This window comes from Homo sapiens, chromosome X (genome assembly GCF_000001405.40).
Source record: "Homo sapiens chromosome X, GRCh38.p14 Primary Assembly".
Taxonomy (NCBI): Eukaryota; Metazoa; Chordata; class Mammalia; order Primates; family Hominidae; genus Homo; species Homo sapiens.
The window spans coordinates 84,300,401-84,317,499 of record NC_000023.11 but is presented as its reverse complement, the minus strand read 5'-3'; positions in this window follow the sequence as shown (position 1 = coordinate 84,317,499).

Here is a 17,099-nt window from a genome sequence, read left to right as displayed (position 1 = left end):
TAAATGTGGCGATGTTGCATCTAACTTTTCCTGGTTCTCTTCAAAACTACTTAAGCATGCTTTCAATTTGTGTGAAATATGTCCATGCCTTGTCAAAGCCTTTTACCAATTAAAACTCTTCATGTTACCTAACTAGTGGGGAAGGAATAAGAAAGGGCAAGTGGTATGTTTTAAATAGCATAACAGCAGTTTTTCTTCCCAGTTGGTAAATTTTCAAGAACATTGCAAGGAGTGAATCACATACAAATGTGCATCTCAAATGACTGAAGTCTTTCTCAGATCTGCAAAATTATTGACTTAAGATGGTGAAATCATTTTATTTTAGATAAGTGAATGAGTATCATTGCAAATCTATTTAAAAGACAAGTCAATGGATGAGTATGTCCATAAGATCGAGTGATATTTTTCACATCAAATGAAACTAAAGAAGTTTCACGTTTGTTTATATTTCTTTATAAAAGTAATAAATGTTCATTGCAGAGATTTTAGAAAATGTAGAAAATATATTAAAAAACAGAACCACTTGTAATCCCATCACCCAGTAAGAATCATTATTACATTTTAGAATATTTCATTCCAGTCATTTCTTCCACATATTATGTTCTCAAATATATATTTACAAAACTGGAATTGTGCTGAATATGCAGATGTGTGTCCTGCTTTTTCTCTTAAAAATGTATTGAGATCATTTTCGCATGTGAATTTGGCACAAGATATTTCTCCCCCAATTACATTTGGACTCAGAGGGGGAAAGCATTTTTTGTTTTTGTTTTGGTTTTTCTTTGTTTGCTTGTTTTTAAGCATTTTATTCATCTGAGTTTATTTTTCGCATTTTTTTATTTTTTGAATTATTTTTGGTACACAGTAGGTGTGTATATTTAAGGGATACAGGACATGTTATGATACAGGCTTGCAGTGTGAAATAAACACATCATGGAAAATGAGATATCTATCCCCTCAAGCATTTATCCTTTGAGTTACAAACAATCCAATTACACTATTCATGTTATTTTAAAATATACAATTAAGATATTATTAACTATGTCACCCTATTGTGCTATCAAATAGTGGGACTTATTTATTATATCTAATTATTTATTTTTTGTACTGGTTAACCATTCCCACCTACCACACCCCGCCCCCCACCCACCACTACCCTTCCCAGCTTCTGGTAATTATCCTACTCTCTATGTCCATGAGTCCAATTGTTTTGATTTTTAGATCCCACAAATAAGTGAGAACATGTGATGTTTGTCTTTTTGTGCCTGGCTTATTTCACTTAACATTATGATCTCCAGTTCCATCCATGTTGTTGCAAATGGCTGTATCTCATTCTTTTTGATGGCTGCATAGTACTCCATTATGTATATGTACCACACTTTTTTATCCATTCATCTGTTGATGGACCCTAAGGTTGCTTCCAAATCTTAGCTATTGTAAACAATGTTGTAACAAAGATAGGAGTGCAGATATTTCTTTGATGTACTTATTTCCTTTCTTTTGGGTATATACCTAGCAGTGGGAATGCTGGATCATACAAGTAGCTCATTTTAAAAATTTTTGAGGACTCTCCAAACTGTTCTCCATAGAGGTTGTGCTAATTTACATTTCCATCAACAGTGTACAAGGGTTCCTTTTTATCCACAGTCTCACCAGCATTTGTTAGTACCTGTCTTTTGGATACAAGCCATTTTAACTAGGGTGAGATGATATCTCATTTCAGCTTTGATTTGCATTTCTCTGATGATCAATGATATTGAGCATCTTTTCATATGCTTGTTTTTCACTTGTATGTCTTCCTTTGAGAAATGTCTATTAAAATCTTTTGCCCATTTTTAATCAGATTATTAGATTTTTTCTATAGAGTTGTTTGAGCTCCTTATATTTTCTGGTGATTAATCTCTTCTCAGATGGGTACTTTGCAAATATCTTCTCCCATTCTGAGGGTGTTCTCTTCATTTTGTTGATTTTATCCTTTGCTGCGCAGAAGCTTTTTAACTTGATGTGATCCCATTTGTCCAGTTTTGCTTTGGTTGCCTCTGTGTTTGGGGTCTCATTCAATAAATCTTTGCTCAGACAAATTTCCTGAAGATTTTCCCCATTGTTTTCTTAGAGTAGTTTCATGTCTTAGATTTAAGTCTTTAGTCCACTTTTCTTTACTTTTTGTATATGGCAAGAGATAGGGGCCTAGTTTCATTCTTCTGCATATGGATATCCAGTTTTCCTAGCTAGCACCATTTATTGAAGAGACTGTCCTCTCCCCAGCATATGCTCTCGGCACCTTTGTCAAAAATGAGTTCACTGCAGGTATGCGGATTTGCTTCTGGGTTCTGTTCTATTCTGTTACACTGGTCTATGGGTCTGTTTTTATGCCAGTACCATACTGTTTCGTTAACTATTGCTCTGTAGTATAATTTGAAGTCAGATAATGTGATTTCTCCAGTTTTGCTCTTTCTGCTTAGGATAGCTTTGGCTAGTCTAGGTCTTTTGTGGTAGTATATACATTTTAGAATTGTTTTTCATATTTCTGTGAAGAATGCCATTGGTATTTTGATAGGAATTGCATTCAATCTGTAGGTTGCTTTGGGGAGTATGGACATTTTAACAATCTTGATTTTTCCAATACAGGAACATGGAATAATATTCCATTTTGGAGGGTCCTCTTAGATTTCTTTTATCAGTGTTTTATAGTTTTCATTATAGAGGTCTTTCACTTCTTTGCTTAATTCCTAGGTATTTATTGTGTGGTTATTGTAAATGGAGCAACTTTTTATGTTTTTTTTCATACTGTACACTGTTGGCATTTAGCAATGGTACTAATTTTTGTATGTTGATTTTTAATCCTGCAATTTTCCTGAATTTGTTAATCAGTTTTAATCATTTTTTGGTGGAGTCTTTCGATTTTTCCAAATGTAAGATCATATCATCAGCCATCAGTATAATTTGACTTCTTTGTTTCCAATTTGCATATGCTTTATATCCTTCTCTTGGCTGACTGCTCTAGCTAAGGCTTCCAGTACTATTTTGAAGAACAGTGGTTAGAGTGGGCATCCTTGTCTTGCCCCAGATCTCAGAGAAAAGGCTTCCAGCTTTTTCTCATTCAATATGATATTAACTGTGGGTCTGTCATATATGGCTTTTATTTTGTTGAGGTATGTTCTTTCTATACCCAATTTTTTCAGGGTTTTTATTAGGAAAATATGTTGAATTTTAACAAATGATTTTTCAGCATCAATTAAAATGCTCATATGGTTTTTATCCTTCATTATGTTGATATGATGTTGATTTGTGCATATTGAAACATCCTTGCATCCCAGGGATCAATCCAAATTTGTCATGATAAATAATCTTTCTAACGTATCATTAAATTCTCTTGGCTTGTATTTTATTGTGGATTTTTGTATCAATATTCATCAGAAATATTGGCCTGCAGTTTTCTTTTTTCTTTTCTTTTATGTTTTGTTTTTTGTTGTTGTGGTGGTGGTGCCTTTGTCTGCTTTTGGTATCATGGTAATACTTGCCTTGTAGAATGACTTTGGAAGTATTCCTTCCTCCTCTCTTTTGTGTAATAGTTTGAGCAGGACTGGTATTGATTCTTCTTTAAATGTTTGGTAGAATTCAGCAATGAAATCAGCAGGTCCTGAGCTTTTCTTCAGTGGGAGACATTTACTATGGCTTTGACTTTGTTACTTATTTGTCTGTTCACATTTTGGATTTTCCTGGGTCAATCATAGTAGGTTGTAGGTATTTCTTCTAGGTTTTCTAATTTATTGGCATATAGTTGCTCATAGTAGCCACTAATGATCCTTTGAATTTCTTCAGTATCAGTTGTAAAGTCTGCTTTTCCATTTCTGATTTATTTATATGTTCTCTCTTTCTTTCTTAGTTGTCTGGCTAACGTTTTGTCAATTTTGTTTAACTTCTCAAATAAAAATTTTTGCTTCATTGATCTTTGGTATTGTTTTATTATTTCAATTTTATTTATTTCTGCTCTGATTTTCATTATTTATTGTTCTTATTTTGGGTTTGGTTTGCTCTTGCTTTTCTAGTTTTTCAAGATGCAAATTGTTCATTTGAAGTTTTCCTTTTTTTTTTTTTTTTTGGTGTAGTCGCTTGTAGCTATAAATTTCCCTCATAGTACTGCTTTTCTGCATACCATAGGTTTTGGTATGTTGTGTTTCCATTACTATTTGTTTCAAAAAATTTAAAGTTCCTTCATAATTTCTTTATTTACCCACTGGTCATTCAGGGGCATATTGGCTTATTTTCCATGTATTTGTATAGCTTCCAAAATTCCTCTTTTTATTGATATCTAGTTTTATTCCTTTGTAGTCAGATAAGATGCTTGATATTATTTCAATCTTTTAAATCTTTTAAGACTTGTTTTGTGACTTAACATATGGTCTATTTTTTTAAATAATCCATGTGCTGAGTAAAAGAATGTGTATTATTCAGCTCTTGAGTGAAATGTTATATAAATGTCTGTTAGATTCATTTTGTCTATAGTGCAGATTAAGTCTGATGTTTCTTTGTTGATTTTCTGTCTGGAAGATCTGTCCAGTGATGAACGTGGGGTGTTAAAATCTCCATCTATTATTGTATTGGAGCCTATCTTTCTCTTTAGGTCTAATAATATTAATTTTATATATCTGGGTGCTCCAGTGTTTGGTGCATATGTATTTAAAATTGTTATATCCTATTTCTAAATCGACCCCTTTATCATTATATAGTGACCTTCTTTATCTGTTTTTATAGTTTTTGTTTGGAAAGCTCTTTTGCTTGATATAAGTATAGCAACTCTTACTCTTTCTTGGTTTCCATTGGCATGGAAGATCTTTTTCCAACCCTTTATTTTCAGTCTATGTGGGTCTTTATAGGTGAAGTGTGTTTCTTGTAGGGAATAGATCAATGAGTCTTGTTTTTCATCCACTGAGGGAGTCCGCATCTTTTGATTGATAAGTGAGGACTTACTCCTGCCATTTTGTTATTTGTTTTCTGGTTGTTTTATGGTCTTCTCTTCCTTCTTTCTTACCTTCCTGTCTTCCTCTTGTGAGGGTGATTTTCTCTGGAGATATGATTTAGCTTTTTGCTTTTTATTTTTTTGCATATCCATTGTATGTTTCTTGGTTTGAAGTTACCATGAAGCTTGCCAATACTATCTTATAACCCATTATTTTAACTTAATAACTGCTTAACACTATTTGCATGAACAAACAAACAAGCAAAAAATTAACTACTAAAAACTGTATGCCTTAACTTCCTCTTACCACTTTTTAACTTTTTGTTGCTTCAATTTATTAATATATCTGATTGTACTGTCTATGTCTTGAAAAGTTGTAGTTATTTTTGATTGGTTCATCGTTCAGTCTTTCTACTCAGAATAAGAGTAGTTTACACACTACAGTTACAGTGTTATAATATTCTGTGTTTTTCTGTGTATTTACTATTACCAGTGAGTTTTGTACCTTCGGGTGATTATTTATTGCTCATTAATGTCCTTTCCTTTCTGATTGAAGTACCTCCTTTAGTATTTCTTCTAGGACAGGTCTGGCGTTTATGAAATCATTCAGCATTTGTTTGTCTCAGAAAATTTTTATTTTTCCTTCATATCTGAAGGATATTTTCACTGGATGTACTATTCTGGGTTAAGTTATTTTCCTTCAGCATGTTAAATATGTTATGCCATTCTCTCCTGGCCTGTAAGGTTTCCATTGAAAAGTCTGCTGCCAGGTATATTGGCTCTCCATTGTATGTTATTTACTCATTTTCTCTTGCTGCTTTTAGGATCCTTTCTTTATCCTTGACCTTTGGGAGTTTGATTATTAAATGTCTTGAGGTAGTCTTCTTTGGGTTAAATCTGCTTGGTATCAAATAACCTTCTTGTACTTGGATATTGATATCTTTCTCTAGGTTTGGGAAGTTCTCTGTTATTATCCCTTTGAATAAATTTTCTACCCCTATCTTATTATCTACCTCCTCTTTAAGGCCAATAATCCTTATTTAACAGATTTGCTCTTTTGAGACTATTTTCTAGATTCTGTAGGCATGCTTCATTGGTTTTCTTTTGTCTCCTCTGCCTGTTCATTTCCAAATAGCCTGTCTTCAAGCTCACTAATTCTTTCATATTCCTGATCAATTCTGCAATTGAAGGACTCCAATGCATTCTTCAGTAAGCCAATTGCATTTTTCAGCTACAGAATTTCCGCTTGATTCTTTTTAATTATTTCAATCTATTTGTTAAATTTATCTGATACAATTCTGCATTCCTTCTCTGTGTTATCTTGAATTTTTAATAGTTTCCTCAACACAGCTATTTTGTATTCTCTGTCTGGAAGGTCACGTATCTCTATTTTTCCAGAACTGCTTCCTCATGCCTTATTTAGTTCATTTGGTGAGGTCATGTATTCCTGGATGGTGTTGATGCAAGTAGATGGTCTTCAGTGTCTGAACTTTGAGGAGTTAGCTATTTATTGTAGTCTTCACTGTCTGAGCTTATTTGCAGCTGTCCTTCTTGAGGAGGCCTTCCAGATATTTAAAAGGAATTAGGTGTTGTGATCTAAGCTGTATCTGCTTTAGGAAGCAACCCAAGCTCAGTAATGCTCTAGTTATTACAGACTGATAGAAGTATTGCTTTGATGGCCTTGGACTGATCCGGGAGTATTCTCTGGATTATCAGGCAGACTCTTTTTTCCTTGTTCTACTTTCTCCCAACATACAGTCTCTCTTTCTGTTCTGAGCCACCTAGAGCTGGTGGTGGTGTGACACAAGCATCACCACTACTATGACTGCACTGGCTCAGACCTGAAGCCAGCATAGCACTGGGTCTCACCCAATACCTGCTGTAACCACTCCGTGGCTACTGCCTATGGTCACTCAAGGCCCTAGGGTCTATAATCAGTAGGTGGCAAAGCCAGCAAGGTGTGCTTCCTTCCTTTATGTTGATGAGGTCCCCCGGGCCCTGGGTGGCTTCAAAAGTGCCATCTGAGGGTCAGGGACTAGAGTCAAAAACCTTAGAAGTGTACCTGGTGTTCCATTGTATTGTGGCTGAGCTGGCACAGAAACCCCAAGACAAAATCCTTACCCACTCTTCTCTCCTCTTTCCAAATGCAGAGGAGCCTCACCCTGTAGCTACCACCACCCCAGGCCATGAGGAGTACTGCCAGACTACCTCCCATGTTTCCTCAAGGCCCAAGGTCTCTTAAGTAATGTTGCTGTGAATGCTTCCTGGTCCAGGACTCACCATCCAGGGAAGTGGACACACCTTTGGCCCAGGGCAAGTCCAGAAATGCTGTGCAAGAGTCAAGTCCTATAATCAGGGATGACAAGAGCCTGCTTGGTCTCTACAACCTGTGGCTGTGCTGGTACCTAAGGTGCAAGACAGTCACCTTTACTTTTCCCTCTGCTTTTCTTAAGCAGATGGAGTTTTGCCCCATAACCACCACATCGGGTTATATGCTGAGTCTCACCTGAAGCCAGCAAGTCTCAGAGGCTCACCAAGGCACTCGATATAGTATATAGGTATTGCTGGAGGGTATTCAAGGCTGAAGTGCTCTTCAGTTAGCAGGAGATAAATGCCGCCAGGACTGGGTTCTTTCCTACAAGACAACAGGTTCAATTCTGGCCCAGGGTGTGTCTAGAAATGTGGTCTGGTGGTTAGAGCCAGAAACAGGAGCCTCACAACTCTGAATGGTGTCCTATCCTGCTGTGGCTGAGCTTGCATCCAAGATACAAGACAAAGTCCTCCCAGCTCTTCCCTCTCTTCTTCTCAAGTGAAAGGAAGGAGTCTCTTTTGGAACCAGGAGCTGTGCAGCCTGGGGTAAGGGAAGGGGTGATGCCAGCACTCCCGGGGCTGCCCCTGATGGTGTCTATGTCACATGCCCCCCATCCCCACCTCCAGCCCACTCTCTCTGGACCTAGTTTAGCACTAGGATTCGCCTAAGCATTGCAGTCTTTGTGGCCTAGACTGATTTTTTTTTTTTTGACAGAGTCTCACTCTGTTGCCCAGGCTGGTGTACAGTGGCACAATTTCTCAGCTCACCGTAACCTCTGCTGCCCCCATTCAAGCAATTCTCGTGCCTCAGCCTCTGGAGTAACTGGGACTACAGGTGCCCGCCACCACACCCCTGGGACTACAGGTGACTGCCACCACACCTGGCCATTTTTTTTTTCTGTATTTTTAGCAGAGCCAGGGTTTCACTATGTTGGCCAGGCTGGTCTCGAACTCCTTACCTCAAGTGATCCGCCCACCTCGGCCTCCCAAACTACTGGAATTACAGGCATGAGCCACCTCATCCATTCTAAAACTAGAGAGTGATAAATACAGAACCTCTAGAAGTCTTGAGGGAATTATCACAATTGAGTCCACTAAGTGGCTGATGGGCAGGAGAGAGGAAATTCTAAATTCTAAAATCTAGAAGGAAAGGTGTGTATACTAGTATAATGATGGAGCTAGGATCAATGTTTTAAGAGTTAATTTGTGGGGGCAATTCTCAAGTTTTAACACCTAGTGGCAGTGTGGTCTTAGGACAAGTTATTTGACCTCTGTGTATTTCAGTTTCTTTGCAAGATGTGAATAATGACAGATAGTAACTATCTCATAGGGTTGTTGTGCTTAGTGTAGTGCCTAGTACACAGTAAGTGCTCAGTACATGTTAGCTAATACTGTTATTATTACTTCTAGAAAAGGATATTGAAGGAAGTCAAAGACAACTTCGACCTAGCAATTTTGCCCTGGGCATAGATGGCTCAAGGCAAACATTTAGGAGAATCAAAACAGCACTCAAAACAATTTCACCTAAATAGAGTATATGACCAGCACAGTTTTCACATTCAAAGGGCAGCACAATTTTATTGTTCACGCCCTCAGTGGTCTTCTCACTGCCTTAGAGAGTTAATAGGCCTACCAATCGAAGAGCTGCTATGGGAACTGGGCACATCTGGTACACTATCTTTCATTTAATAAAATATCGATGCCATACAACATTTTAAAGAAATAGCTATTTCTTTAAAAATTCATTTAACTTTATATATCAAATGTTGATCTCTGGCTCAATGTGTGTATGCATGCAGATGAATATCTGACACAGATCTTTGAAATCACTTGCAGAAAGTTTAGTTTACTTACTTTGTTTTTGCTTGTCATTAGTTTCCAATCAAGTGAATTTTAGCCACTTATTACTGGTTCTAGAGTAGATAAACTAACTATTTTTATCAAGCATATTTTATTTATCATGTGAATCTCTATCATTTTTTTCTAACTGCACATTACATATTTAAATGTAGCTTTCCTTCCAGTCTATTCATGGACACACATTTTGCTTTCTTTTTTTTTTTTTTTAAATTAGCTTTTATTTTAGTTTCAGAGGATACATGTGTAGGTTTCTTACATGGGTATATTGTTTAGAAAAATTAAGGCAGGAAGAGAAGACCAAATGCCACATGTTTTCACTTTCAAGTGGGAGCTAAACAGCGAGTACACATGGACACCAAAGATGGGAACAATAGATACTGGGGTCCACTAAAGAAAGGAGGGAGGAAGCAGAAGAAGGTTTGAAAAACTACTCGAGTAATGGGATCATTTAGACACGTTTTGCTTTCTAAGGGTTATCTTTCTAATCATATGCCATTTTAAAATGCCTAGTTTACCCTTGCATTAAGGATTTCACAACCTGTGTCTCCGCTGGCACACTGGGTCAGAGGAAAGGGTGACTTACCTTTGTCAAATCTGTTTATTGCACATAAGGCTATTTTTCTAAATCTGCTAATATAGGTCTTGGGAAAATTAAATGAATATTTCAATTGATTAATTTTCTCTTTTTTTTTTTTTTTTTTTTTTTGAGACGGAGTCTTGCTCTGTCGCCCAGGCTGGAGTCCAGTGGCGCGATCTCGGCTCACTGCAAGCTCCGCCTCCCAGTTCACGCCATTCTCCTGCGTCAGCCTCCCGAGTAGCTGGGACTATAGGCGCCCGCCACTACGCCCGGCTAATTTTTTGTATTTTTAGTAGAGACGGGGTTTCACCGTGTTAGCCAGGATGGTCTCGATCTCCTGACCTCGTGATCCGCCCGCCTCGGCCTCCCAAAGTGTGGCGCTGATTAATTTTCTTATATAGCCTCATAAATTATTGTATTCACTTTTCACTTTTAAAGCATTCATCAATATGTTAACTTGAAAAAAACAACGACAATAACAAAAGATTAAGACATAAGAAGCAAGAGACCTTGGGTTCACTTGATAACAAATATTGATCCATTTGGATACAAATGTTTGCGGAAATCAGGAAGATAAAAAAGAATTCGGGTACAGAAATTTAGAAAACTCTAGAATGAAGACAATATCAAGTTCAAAATGCAATGAAACTACTATTCAATAATTAATATTTCTCCTTATCCTAATTAGAAACTCATAAAGTCCTAGGCATTAGTCTTTAATTTTTTTTTGTTGGCTTTCTCTAGTACAAACATTTTTTATTAGAAGGGGCTGAAATTTTTAAGACAGAAAGTTGTTGGATTCTAAAATGTATGTCCTTGCCTCTCCTTTCAACAATAAGATACAGTGTATTGTGGTATAGCAGAAAGAACACTGACATGTGTTATTGTTCACCATATAAATTCCTTAAGCCTCAGTTTCTTCATCTATGAAATAGGAATAATAATTCCTTATCTGACTGCCTCTTACAGTGATTGTGAAAATCAAATGAACTACTTTTAAGAACTCTTTGCAATTTGTGAAGCACTGCAGAAATGTAAAAGTTTAACACCTATTAATCAAGTATTTACTGGTTGCCTAGGTATTCAAGTCTATATGGACACTGCTGGATATACGGAAAGGGCTATGATTTTTGGCTCCCAGGAGCTTGATGTACTGTGAAAAATTAGGCTTAAACAGATGAAATGTAACTTGAAAGATCACACAAGTGTTAAATGTCATGGTATGATTGCTAGGGGATTGGTGGGGAGTTACTGTGAGGAGACCTCAATGAGGTGTAGCTGTCAAATGAAACTTTGTGTAAAAGGATAATTATGAATGGAATCAGATCCAATTAAGATCTATTCAGCCAAGTATTCATCCCAGATGGCCACCAAGATATGATATAAATAAAATATATGATTGTTCTCACAGGTTTAAAGAGAGCTTCCAAATATTTTATTAGCTTTCCTCAAAGCACTGTCCATTACATATTGATCAACTGAGAATGTATTTCAGTCCTGCTTGAACTTGTTTGTTTATATTTTGTGTCTGCACTCATATAATTAATATGTATTTAATTGGTATTATGTGTCAGACATTGTACTGGGTGCTAGATACTCTGACCTCATAAAACAAGTTCATTGATTTAATATTCTCTGTGTAGATTCATAGAATATTAAGGCTGAAGAAGATGTAAGAGTTTCTCTGGATCAAATCTTTCAGAAAAGTACAGAAAAGGAAAATTGTGCTGAAAGAGATGACATCATTAACTCAAGATCTCACAGAAAACAAAACGTAAAACCAGAACTACACTCTAGGTCTCTTGCTGGCCAGGGCAGTGTATTTTCCATCAAAAAAGATTATACAATAGTACCTTATTTGAGTTAATCTACCCCTACTTCCTTAAGGCAATTGTTCTCAAACTTAAAAATTCATAAGAATCATGGAGTTAGGTGATTTGTTTAAAATGCAAAGACTTGGGCCTTATACCTAGAGATTCTGAAACAATTGGATTCCAAAATATCATTATTTTTACATTTTTTTATTTTCAATGTTTATATTTTATTTATTTATTTATTGTTATGTTTCAGGGTACATAGTAGGTGTATATATTTATGAGGTACATGAGATGTTTTGATAGTATCCATCCCCTCAAGCATTTATCCTTTCAGTTGTGAACAATCTACACTCGTAAATTTACATTATTTTAAAATGTACAACTAAGTTATTATTGACTATCTAATCCTATTGTGCTATCAAATAGTAGTTCTTATTCATTATTTCCATCTTTTTGTGTACCCGTTAACCATTCCCACCTCCCCCTGCCAACCTGCAATACCCATCCCAGCGTCTGCTAACTATCCTTCTACTCTCTATGTTCATGAGTTCATTGTTTTGATTTTTAGATCCCACAAAAGAGTGAGAACATGTGAGGTTTGTCTTTCCATGCCTGGCTTATTTCACTTAACACAATGATCTCCAGTTCCATTCACGTTGTTGCAAATGACTGGATACCATTTTGTTTCATGGCTGAATAGTACTCCATTGTGTATAAGTACCACATTTTCTTTATCCATTCATCTGTTGATGGACACTTAGGTTGCTTCCAAATCTTAGCTATTGCAAACACTGCTGTAGGAGTGCAAATATCTCTTCCATATACTGATTATACTGATTTCCTTTCTTTTGAGTGTATACCCAACAGTGGGATTGCTGGATCATATGGTAGCTCAATTTTTAGATTTTTGAAGAAACTTCAAACTGTTCTCCATAGTGATTGTACTAATTTACATTCCCACCAACAGTGTACAAGGGTTCCCTTTCCTACAGGTCCTCACCAGCATTTGTTATTGCCTCTCTTTTTAATATAAGCCATTTTAACTAGGGTGAGATGATATCTCATTTTAGTTTTGATTTGCATTTCTCCGATAATCAATGATGTTGAGCATTTTTTCATATGGCCTGTCTGCCATTTGTACATCTTTTTTTTTTTAGAAATGTCTATTCAAATCTTACCCATTTTTTGATCAGATTATTAGATTTTTTTCCTATAGAGTTCTTTGAACACCTTATATATTCTGGTTATTAATTCATTGTCAGATGGGTAGTCTGCAGATATTTTCTCCCATTCTGTGGGTTTTTGCTTCACTTTGTTGATTGTATCCTTTGCTGTGGAGAAGAATTTTAACTTGATGTGATCCCATTTGTCCATTTTTGCTTTGGTCACCTGTGCTTGTGGAATAGTGCTCAAGAAATTTTTGCTCAGACCAAGGTCTTGGAGAGTTTTCCCAATGTTTTCTTGTAGTAGTTTCATAGTTTGAGGTCTTAGATTTTAGTTGTTAATTCATTTTGGTTTGATTTTTGGATATGATGAGAGATAGGGTTCTAGTTATATTCTTCTGCATATGGATATCTAGCTTTCCCAGCATCATTTATTGAAGAAATTTCTTTTCCCAGTTTATATTATTGGCACTTTTGACAAAAATGAGTTCACTGTAGGTGTGCAGATTTGTTTCTGGGTTCTGTGTTCCATTACATTGGTCTGTCTGTTTTTATGTCAGTACCATGCAGTTTTGCTAACTATATCTCTGTAATTTGAAGTCAAGTAATGTGATTCCTCCTTTTGATCTTTTTGCTTAAGGTAGCTTTAGCTATTTTGGGTCTTTTGTGGTTCAATAAAAATTTTAGAATTTTTTTTCTATTTCTGTATATAATATCATTGGTGTTTTGGCAGGGATTGCATTGAATCTGTAGATTTCTTTGGATAGTATGGACATTTTAACAAAATTGATTCTTCTAATCCATGAACATACTATATCTTTCCATTTTTTCGTGCCTTCTTCAATGAGTTTCATCAATGTTTAGTAGTTTTCATTATAGAGATATTTCACTTCATTGGTTAATTCCTAGGTGTTTAATTTTATTTGTGGCTATTACAAATGGAGTTACATTTTTTATTTATTTTTTGGATTTTTCACTATTGGCATATAGAAATGCTAGTGATTTTTGTATGCTGATTTTGTATGCTGCAACTTTACCTAATTTGTTCATCAGTGCTAATAGTTTTTTGTGGAGTCGTCAAACTTTTCCAAATATAGGATCATATCACCTGCAAGCAAGGATAATTTGAATTCTTCCTTTCAGATTTAGATGCCCTTTCTATCTTTCTCAAGTCTGATTGCTCTAGGTACGACTTCAGGTACCATGTTAAATAACAGGAGTAAAAGCAGATATCCTTGCTGTATTCCAGATCTTAGAGAAAAGGATGTTATTTTTTCAGTATTTAGTATGATACTAGCTTGGGTTTTAAGTATATGGCTTTTATTGTGTTGAGGTATGTTCCTTCCATACCCAGTTTTCTGAGGGTTTTTATCATGAGGAGATGTTGGATTTTATCAAATGTGTTTTCAGCCACAATTGAAATGATCATATAGTTTTTGCTATACATTCTGTTTGTATGATGTATCACATTGATTTGCACATGTTGAACCATCTTTACATTTCAGGGATAAATTCCATTTGGTCATGCTGAATTATCTTTTAATTGTATTGTTGAATTTTGTTTGTTATAGTAGTAATTTGTTGACAAATTTTGCATCAATATTCGTCAGAGTTATTGGTCTGCAGGGTTTTTTTGTTTTGGGTTTGTTTGTTTATGTGTCTTTGTCTTGTTTTGGTATCTGGGTAATGCCAGCCTCATAGAATGAGTTTGGAAGTATTACCTCCTCTCTTTTTTGGAATAGTTGAGGTATGACTGATACTATCTCTTCTATAAATGATTGGTAAAATAAAGCAGTAAAATCATAGGGTCTCAGGCTTTGATCAGTTTGGTCTATAGTGCAGATTAAGTCTGATGTTTATTTGTTGGATTTCTATCTGGAAGATCTGTCTAACACTGAAAGTCTGGTGCTGAAGTCTCCAGTTATTACTGTATTGAAGTCTATCCCTTTATATCTCTAATAACATTTGCTTTATATAAAGTATAGCGACTCCTGCTCCTTTTAGGTTTCCATTGGCATGGAAATTTTTTTCCGTCCCTTTACTTTCAGTCTATGTGTGTCTTTACAGGTGAAATGCATTTCTTATAGGCAATAGATCAATCAACCTCATTTCTTTATCCATGCAGTCACTCTATGTCTTTTGATTGGAGAGTTTAGTTTTACATTCTATTTTGTTATTGATAAGTAAAGACTTACTCTTTCAATTTTGTTATTTTTTTTCTGGTGAGTATGTGGTCTTTTCCTTCTTTCCTTCCTGTCTTCATTTTTGTGAAGGTGATTTTCTCTGGTGATAGGATATAGTCTTTTTGCTTTATATGTGTATCTGTTGCATGTTTTTTTTGGTTGGATGTTACCATGAGGCACACAAATACTGTCTTGTAACCTATTATTTTATACTAATAGCACTGTTTGCATAACCAAACAAGTGAAAAAATAACTAATAAAGATTATATGCCTTAACTGTGTACCCCTACCTTTAAATATTTAATTGTTGCTACTTATGTCTTTTTGTACTGTCTATATCTTGAAAATGTGTTGTCATTATTTTTTATTGGCTTATTGTTTCATCTTTCTACTTAAGAGTAGTTTACACCCTGCAGTTACAGTGTTATAATATTCTGTGTTTTTCTGTGTACTATTACTAGTTAGTGTTGTACCTTCAGATAATTTCTCATTGCTGATTAAAGTCATTTTCTTTCTGATTTAAGCAGTCCCTTTCACATTTCTTGTAGGACAAGTCTGGTGTTGATGAAATCACTCAGTTTTTGTTTGTCTAGGAAAGTCTTTCTTTCTCCTTCATGTCTGAAGGATGATTTTGCCAGATATGCCATTCTGAGGTGAAAGTTCTTTTCCTTCAGCACTTTGAATATATCATGCTACTCTCTCCTGGCCTGTAAGGTTTCCACTGAAAAGTCTGCTGCTGGACCTATTGGAGCTCCATTGTATGTTATTTCTTTTTGGCTGCTGTTTTTAGGATCCTTTCTTTGTCTTTGACCTTTGTGAGTTCGATTATTAAATACCTTGAGGTAGTCTACTTTGGGTTAAATCTGCTTGGTGGTTTATCACCTTCTTGAACTTCAATATTGATATCTTTCTCTAAGTTTGGGAAGTTCTGTGTCATTATCCTTTTGAATAAACTTTCTATCCCTAACTCATTCTCTACTTTCTCTTTAAGGCCAATAACTTTTAGATTCGCCCTATTGAGACTATTTATTACATCCTGTAGGTGTACTTCATTTTTTTTCTTTTGTCTCTACTAACTGCATATTTTCAAATAGCCTGTCTTCAAGCTCACTATTTTTTTCTTCTGCTTCATCGATTCTGCTATTAAAAGACTCTCATGCATTCTTCAGTATGCCAATTGCATTTTTCAACTCTAGAATTTCTACTTGATTCTTTTTAGTAATTTCAATCTCTTTATTAAATTTTAAATATCTTTGTTAAATTCTGAAAGAATTCTGAGTTCTTTCTCTGTGTCATCTTGAATTTGTCGGAGTTTCCTCAACACAGCTATTTTGAATTCTCTGGCAGAAAAATACACATATCTGTTTCTCTATGATTGGTCCCTGGTGCCTTATTTAGTTCATTTGGCAAGGTCATATTTTCCTGAATGATCTTGATGCTTGTAGATATTCATCTGTCTCTAGGCATTGAAGATTTAGGTATTAATTGTAGTGTTCACAGTCTAGGCTTGTTTTTACCTGTCCTTGGGAGGGCTATCCAGATATTTGAGAGGACTTCGGTGTTGTGATCTCAGCTGTATCTGCTTTAGAAAGGATGCCAAGGCCACTAATGCTGTGGTTCTTGCACACTCTTAAGGTACCACCCTGATGGTCTTGGACAAAATCCAGAAGAATTATATGGATTACCAGGCACAGACTCTTGTTCTCTTTCCTTACTTTCTTCTAAACAAACGGGGTCTCTCTCTCTGTTCTGAGCTACCTGGAACTGAGGATAGAGTGACACAAGCACCCTTGTGGCCAACACCCCCAGGTCTTCTGTGAGTCAGACCTGAAGCCAGCACAGCACTTAGTCTTGTCCAAGGCCTTCTGTAACCACTCCCTGGCTACTGCCTATGTTCCCTCAGAGCCCTGGGGCTCTACAGTCAGCAGGTGGCAATGCCAGCCAGGACTGTGTCCTTCCCTTCAGGGCAACAAGGTACCCCAGGCCTCAGGCAGGTCTAATGGTGCCATCCAGGAGCCAGGTCCTAGAGTCAAAAGCCTTACAATTCTACGTGGTGTTCTACTGTACTGTAACTGATCTGGCACTCAAACCACAAGATGCAGTCCTTCCCCATGCTTCCCTCCCCTTTCCAAAGGCACAGGAGCCTCACCCCATGGCCACGGCCACCTCAGGCCCGCAGAGATTACCGCCAGACTTCTGCCAATGTTTCCCTAAGGCCCTAGGGCAGTT